This window comes from Homo sapiens, chromosome 21, assembly GCF_000001405.40.
Source record: "Homo sapiens chromosome 21, GRCh38.p14 Primary Assembly".
Classification (NCBI taxonomy): domain Eukaryota; kingdom Metazoa; phylum Chordata; class Mammalia; order Primates; family Hominidae; genus Homo; species Homo sapiens.
Window position 1 is genome coordinate 39,342,315 of NC_000021.9, and position 7,520 is coordinate 39,349,834.

Consider the following 7,520-nt stretch of genomic DNA (forward strand, 5'->3'; position numbering starts at 1 on the left):
TATTTTCATAACTGAGATTTTATTGGTTGAGGATCAGTACAGACATTTCAATTTGTACACAAATCTTAACATACGTAACGAAATTCTAAAAAGCCATGTATTGTAATTCTTTTTTAAAGTTATTCCAGTGACTTTCCAGCTTAAAATTTGGAAGCAAATTTTCCTTAAGAGGCTATCAAGTACCAGTATCTTCACGTTGGTCAGCTGTTACATACGGCCCACCAGTTCACAACTCAACAGCACGTACACTACATGTTCAAATCTGTAATCTTTCACAGCACAGTAACAAAGTTATTAGGAAAACAGGACTACCACAAAGATGTTACAGAGTGCACACAATTCTGGCAGAGAGAGCCATGATCAAAGAGTGGTTTTCTTTAGGAAACAATTCTACTAAAAAACAACATGGTAATAGAAGTAATTTAAAATGTTCAAGACATTAAATGCAGGACTGACTCCATATTGCCATTTAATATGCTTTGTATTATAGGATATAAAAACTAACCCCCCATCTGTGGAATGTTAAGCTGACACCCGAGACAGTCAGAGCCTCCCATAATTCAATATCCCACACTATTTTCTGGTTGTACCAAAAAATAAACAACCAGCAAATGATTTCACCTCTTAAAAAAAAGCATTTACACTTAAAAAATGGGATGAGGTGGGATTCCCTCCTTCTTAAAAATGTTTCTAGAGCTACTAAAAAACTTGCATTTACAAAATAGTTGATAAAAATATTCCTCTGGATTGTACAAGAAGGGAGACAGGGACCACTGATAAGACATGGTATATGGTTATTAATCAGACTTGGCTTCTTTCTCTCCTGCTTCATCAGAGGCTGGACTCTGCAAAAGAAAGGAAATTGAGATCTTTAGCATTTAACACGTTGTCGTTTTATTTATATGCAACTATCAGGTCTTTAAAAAAGTCAATAACCTTTGTTATTTGTAAAGTCACCTACCTACTCTTGTTAAAAAACTTTTGTTAACCACCCCCTCACCCCAAATCAATACTTGCAGCCCTTCCATGGTCATGTGCATGCATCTACAGAGCAGGAAAAAATGTTGAGTTGCATCACATGTACACTCCAAGCTGAGGTCACTCTGTCTTCTTGTTTCAGCTCTAATGCCGTAAACAACTGTTTTTCCGGTCTACTTAGTGCCACATATTTTACACCTTTGTGCTTTTTACTGATGATTTTGTTGTTTAAAATGGCCCCCACGCATCTTGTTCAAGTGCTATCTAATGTTGCTCAATTCAAGGCTGTGATGTGCCACACAGAGAACGTATGTGTTGGAGGGCTTTGTTCAGGTACAAATTACAGTGCTACTGGGTAGTGAGTTCGATGTGAATTTAACATACATTAAGGCATGTCTAAACAGAAATACACATGTAACAAAGTCACGTATTTTCAGTTGATGAAAATGTTGTGATCAGAGGTTTGTAGGAACCCAATCCTGTACTTCCCCTATGTGAAAACGGTTTCATACTTGTGGCAGCCTTATATTAATAGAACACAGCTATAAACAAGGGAAACCAACTGTAATTTGATAACATGTACTAGAAGGTCAAGTTCTTCCTTTAAAATCAAAACTAGATTAGCAATGTGATCTTATTATCACACAGTATTTGATGTATGGTTAGAATTAAGTAGTACAGGCCAGGAGCGGTGGCTCACACCTGTAATACCAGCACTTTGTGAGGCCAAGGCGGACAGATCACCTGAGGTCAGGAGTTTGAAACCAGCCTGGCTAACACGGCGAAACCCCGTTTCTACTAAAAATACAAAAAATTAGTTGGGTGTGGGGATGCACGCCTGTAATCCCAGCCGCTCAGGAGGCTGAGGCAGGATAATCGCTTGAACCCGGGAGGTGGAGGATGCAGTGAGCCAAGATCCCACCACTGCACTCCAGCTTGGGCAACAAGAGCGAAATTCCGTCTCAAAAAAAAAAAAAAAAAAAGGAATTAAGAAGTACAAGAAGTACAAGTTAAAAAAATAAACTGTGATTATAAATTTCTTAACTTAGGAATAAGTAGTTTATAACTTAAGAATTTGATAAATATCAAATATAAACATCAAATACTTAAGTGATATCAAAATTTAAAAATCAATATACTAAATTACTTATCTTTTCTAGCTTAGCTAATATAACAAACATAAAATAAAGGTCTGGCTTAACTGAATCTTGCAGTTCAGTTATTTTTTAAGAAACAGCTTCCAGGCTAGAGGAGTGCAGTAGTGCTCACAACAAATCAATCAAAACCTGTTACAGACTTCTTTGTTCCTTCTCTACTCCCACTGCTTCATTAATAAAAAAAAAAAGACATCTTTTCCTCACAGCTTAAAACAATAAAGATTCAGCCTGGCTAACAGACACTGTCTCTAAGAATAAAGATTAATGACACTAGTCTTTTTATTTACTTGATCTATGTTATTATTTAGACCTTTAAGAAAAATACAAACAAAAACATTTTCATTAGAAATGAAAGTGGGAAAAAAATGCCAGGAAAAATGCAAGTAAGGGGAATAAATTTTCAAAAATATATTTAAAAGCAACATCCAGAATATAAAAACAAAACAAAGATTGAATTATATCTGAAATTGAGCATATTAAAATTTCTTGCTCTTAAATAAGCCATTTACATATTTACTTTCCAATAACATAAATCATAGAAAACCATTTGTCCAATCACTTTGGGATACCGTACAAAACTTTGTTCAATATTATAATGAATACTGTTATCTGCTACAAAAAATGTACAATTTAGTATCTACTGTTCAGAGTCAAAGCAATCACACACACACACACACACACACACACACTTCTGACCTCCTCAGTCTTCGTTTCCCCGTTTTCCGCAGGTAAGTCTTCTTTAGTTTCTTGGTTAGCCACTTCGGCCTGTTTTCCCTTTGCTCCCCTTTTCCCTTTTGTTTGCACTTTTTTGTCTGAAGATTTATCCTATGATAGAATAAGAATATATTTTAAGTACATGCTTTACTCCTTATTTACATTTTGTTTTACTTTTTCCCCTTCATGTCAGACAAGTAATGTGCCCAGTGGTGCTGACTTCATAGTAAGGTTTGAGAGAGGGACATCTCACACATGAGCGTGAAACCCCAATCTTCAAGCTTATGAAAGGATCTCATTTTGTATAGACTGTATCCATAACAGCTGTCATATTAATGTCTATCACACATCAGTTGATACACCTATTACATGAGACAACTTAAGGTCCCCCCCAGTAATCAGGAAAACAATGTATGCTAAGGAGATTTTAATAGTACTTGCATGTCAAGCCTCATTAGACATATGACAAATCCTAAAGCCCGAGCTATATTTCACCACTGTCGCCATCATCCACTATTCCCTACAGTTCCACATGACAGGACAATGTCATGAAGTTGAATACCGGAGGAGTCTCGTCGACCGTATTCCCACCCATCCCCAAATTTGTTGTGAACTTCAACAATACTGTCCTCACAAGACCTTAACCCTCACATTAAGACCAATCACCTGAAAAAAAGCACCATGCCGTACGGTCAGGTTGACTATCCTGCTACAGTTAATCCCTTCATATCATATAATGAGGAACTAAAAGGATCAGTTTTGAATTTATCACTTTCATTTAGGTGTTTGAAGAATCTGAAAAGCACAGGTATTAATATGACCATACTAACTTGATACATTAAGTTCAAAATTTAAGCCATGTTAAAGAAACATAAAAATACTTTTAGATACCATCCATCAATACTGAGAAGAAAGCTTAACATTTATTCCTTGTTAGTAAGTATACAGCAGCAGCTAAATTAGTTTAGCCCCCAGCGGGTGGTATAAAAGACCCATACGGATACTGACCAATTACTTGAATTAAAGGGCCATAAAGACAAGCAAGTAGAGCTCACAACTTCAATGCTAACACGGGCGGAAAAATCACTGCAGGGTGTTCTGTACTAATAGTAGGATTCCACAGACAGCATAATGACTTTTAATACTTCAACATCCTTTGAGTAACAAATGATAAATGTATTTGAGACAAAACTGCTACTACACACATTGCTATCACAAAGTTTCACAATCACTTCTGTATTTAAGAACTACTCTTTTGTAGTCTGTTTCTAAAGATTTCTCATTAATTTCATAATCATTCCAATACAAAAAATACAAAACTGGGAAACAGTTAAAATAGAATACATAATATCTTGGACTTGAAATAATACCACGTGTAACCATTATCAGCTGAAAAGCTAGATTAAAAAAAAATCAATCAAGTTTCCCAAAGTATAATGTTTGGACCTTCAAAATATTTAGTTCTAGGGAAAGATACAAGTCAGAAGCACACACAGTGACAAGATATGCCTTGAAAACATGTCTACTGTGTAGTATGATAATCGATACACCAAGTGCTTACGTTCTGTTTAGACTTCAAAGTCTGATCAACCATGAAGTCAAAGGTGTATTACAGAAACGAGATGTAAAAATGAACAAATCCCTTCTGCCCTTTTTCCTTTTGGGAAAACTGACCTCATAGGCTCGTTCCTCAACAAACACTGACATGAAGACTTACCTGTTGGCCTCTCAATTACATCTGATGTCCCAAACCCACTGAGAGTAAAACTTGGAACTGTTTTCATTAAAAAATTCACTTTACAGTAGATCTCAAGATGGACAAAGATAAATAAGGAAAGAAACAAGAAAAATGTAAAGAGGGAAACAGGCAGATATTTCAGCCAATTAGTTTAAAACACACACACACACACACACACAATAAAAAAAGATAGGTAATAATATACTGCTCACGCCAACATTTTTAACAAGGTCAGCTAATTTTTTAGGCCTTCAAGTTTCCGTGCTGTTCTAACTGTATACAGAGAATTACCACATGGTCTTCTGGTAATGAGAAATTTAAAGTTGAAAAATACTATTCTCATACCTTCCGTGAAGCTTTATTTTTAAAAGGATCACAAAAACAGAACTTTCTGTTAAAGAAAACATAGTTAACATTTTTACACTCAGCTCTGTAAAAAATTTAAATTAAAAAAGAAAAAACATCTTTGTTTTATACCTTTATTTAACAAGGACAAATTTAGTAATTATCCAACAACTCCTCAATGTCAAGGAAATTAATCTTGCCTCTTCTGATGACTGCAGTGCTAAACTTCTACCTACACTTTTAGGAAAGAGGTGAAGGCATTAACAAAAATTTTTTTTGAGACTTCAAATAGCAAACTCTCACCTAAGTTTTGGATAAAAATTAATCACCCCGCGAAGAACATGTAGAGCTTTACAGGTTTCAATGCTATATCCAAACACAAAGCTTATACTTGTTTTACACATGTTCTGCTTTTCCACCCTGCAAGTTATCAAACACACGTACACCCAAAGCCAACTTCATTCTACAGACCTGCAATTCGAATCATGCAATCACGAATTTGTTAGGGAGCAGCCAAAATCACGGTTTTGTATAACTGCTGATGAACACTTCCAGAGTAGTGGCGGTTATTTTCTCAGAGATCACAACTTTTTACCTCCCCACCCCCACCCCGTAAAAAGGTTAAGGCTTCCCGAAGTTGGCTTGGAAACTGTATATATAAAAACTTACACGTTCCCTTTCTCCTGGCCTCGGTGCTATCTTGACTCTTTTATTGTCAAAAAAGGAAGTACAAGCACGAATTAAAAGCCAAGCACCAGCCACAATGTACGCAACGCAAAGAATAAATTTCCTTTGTAGACTTAATATTTAATATTTTTTGTCGTCCTAAGTCTCCTAACATCTGCAGCAGCATTAGTGTGATATAGTTCTATAAACCAGGATGAATATATCCATTACATTTTTGCCTCGACCACTAGAAAAATTATTTACCGTAATTATTAAAGTATAAATAAAGCTCCAATAGCTAATCAAAATGGAAGCCCCGCATTAAGAAGCAGTGTAGCCTAAGGCCCCGCTGCATCCCAATGCGCGTTTCGAGGCTTACCTTCGCTGCTGCCTTTTTCGGCTTCGCTTCCACTTTTGCAGGAGGTTTCTGAAAGGCAAAAGCAGCACTGAGCGTCCTCACCCGGGACGACCCGCGGAAAACGAACGGTTACGGGGCTCGCTTTACTTACAGCTGACAACCGCGCCGATCTCCTCTTGGGCTTGGAGAAAGAAAAAGGAGAGTCAGCGAGAAGAGAAGGCAGGCCAGCGGCTCACGGGAAACCCACCACCCCCCGCAGAAGGCCCGCACTCACCTCTTCCTTGGCGGCGCCTTCGGCGGAGCTGACCTGCGGAGACGGAGACGCACGAATAGAGGCGGGCCGCAGTCCCAGGACTCGCGGGCCCGCCCGGCCCCGAGAACAATGCCCGGCCGCGTGACGTCACGGCTTCCCGCCGCCCCGTTCGAATAGCCCCCTCAGCTCCCCCGGCCGCCAAACGTTCCAGAACGCCCGCCCCCGCGGCCGCCGAGCGCTCGCCTGCCCGCCCGCCGGTCTCCAAGCGCCTCCCGGGCCCGTCGCCACCGTGGGTGCAACGGGGCCTGGGCCTCGCGGGGCCCGGCGGGGCGCCGGCGGCGGCTCCAGGGGGCGTGTGCGGGCCGCGGCCGCCGCTCACCTTCCTCTTGGGCATCGTGGCGGCGGGGAAGGCGCGTGCCGGGTGCCTGCGGGGAAGGCGCGTGCCGGGTGCCTGCGGGCCGCGGCGCGCCGACAGCCTTCGCGAAACTGGGCTGCCTTGCCGCTGCCACTCCTCCCGCCGCCCGAGCTGCTGAGACCCACAGCGGGGGCGGTGGGAGAACCGGATGGAACCGGATTGGGAGCCCGCCTCCTCCTCCCCCCGCGTCCCCGGCCGCGGGCTCCCCCTCCCCGCCGGCCGGGCCGCCCCCCACCCCCGCCCATTGGCTACGGGACTCAGCCCGCGCCCGGAATAGGTGAGGCGGGCCCTTAATTGATCCCGGACCCCGCCCCCTTCCGGGGGCCCCCCCCCCCCCCCCGGGCGCCCCCACCCCTTTCCGCCGTCTCGCGGGGCCCCAGACCCAGGCGAAGGGGGCGGGGTCCCAGTGGCGCTCCGGCCTCACGGTAGTTTGAAGCCGAGCCGCAAAGTGCGGTCTGCGCGCTGATTGGCGGACGCACGTCACGGGACCGCGGGTCCCCACCCACAATTCTTCTGGATACCTGGGCGCCTTCAGGCCACTGGTATCTGGCCCCTCCCCTCCGGGGTGAATTGGGTTCGAACATTTATAGTTCGTATCTTAGACTGGGAAGGGAGAAGGATAAGGTATACAGGAAGTAGCAAATTTCTCCCGCCTCTGTCGGCAAGAAAGGCTATCCAGGGGCTCCAGCTTCGCAGGCCTGCGTGAAGCGGGCCCTGGTGCGCAGGCGCTGCAGGAGGGCGTGGGAAGGAGAGCCGACGCGGCCTTTCTGTGTAACTTCCTTCCTTCCTTCCTTTTATTTGAGACAGGGTCTCGTTGTGTCGTCCAGGCTGGAGTGCAGTGGTGCGATCACGGCTCATTGCAGCCTCGACCCCTTCGGCTCCAGCGAACCTCCCAC

At 42.8% G+C, this 7,520-nt stretch overlaps 1 protein-coding gene and 1 non-coding gene across 5 annotated transcripts, besides 2 other annotated features; both read right to left on the minus strand.

Annotated features, from left to right (window-relative positions):
* On the minus strand, nt 1-6,774 carry HMGN1 (high mobility group nucleosome binding domain 1). 4 transcript variants are annotated; one of them, NM_004965.7, is made up of 6 exons: nt 6,589-6,774; nt 6,231-6,263; nt 6,108-6,137; nt 5,978-6,025; nt 2,832-2,960; nt 1-845 (listed from the first exon to the last, which is right to left on the minus strand). In NM_004965.7, exons 1-6 carry the CDS (start codon nt 6,601-6,603, stop codon nt 798-800), a joined length of 303 nt encoding a protein of 100 aa, NP_004956.5. In that variant the 5' UTR covers nt 6,604-6,774; the 3' UTR covers nt 1-797. The 4 variants fall into 4 exon arrangements, with proteins under 4 accessions (NP_004956.5, XP_047296713.1, XP_047296714.1 ...); XM_047440757.1 differs by lacking the exon at nt 6,589-6,774 and adding an exon at nt 3,516-3,644 and having other exon boundaries at nt 6,231-6,291; XM_047440758.1 differs by lacking the exons at nt 6,231-6,263; nt 6,589-6,774 and adding exons at nt 3,516-4,978; nt 5,065-5,164 and having other exon boundaries at nt 6,108-6,139.
* On the minus strand, nt 3,037-3,143 carry LOC124905074 (small nucleolar RNA U13). Its single transcript, XR_007067953.1, has one exon. It is a non-coding gene; the product is annotated as a small nucleolar RNA U13 (small nucleolar RNA).
* Nucleotides 6,367-6,966: a silencer, noted in NCBI's record as "silent region_13327". NCBI's record gives its function as "represses an Ori minimal core promoter by ATAC-STARR-seq in GM12878 lymphoblastoid cells {active_cell/tissue: GM12878}" and the evidence as "EXISTENCE:reporter gene assay evidence [ECO:0000049][PMID:35858748]".
* Nucleotides 7,177-7,456: an enhancer, noted in NCBI's record as "active region_18467". NCBI's record gives its function as "activates an Ori minimal core promoter by ATAC-STARR-seq in GM12878 lymphoblastoid cells {active_cell/tissue: GM12878}" and the evidence as "EXISTENCE:reporter gene assay evidence [ECO:0000049][PMID:35858748]".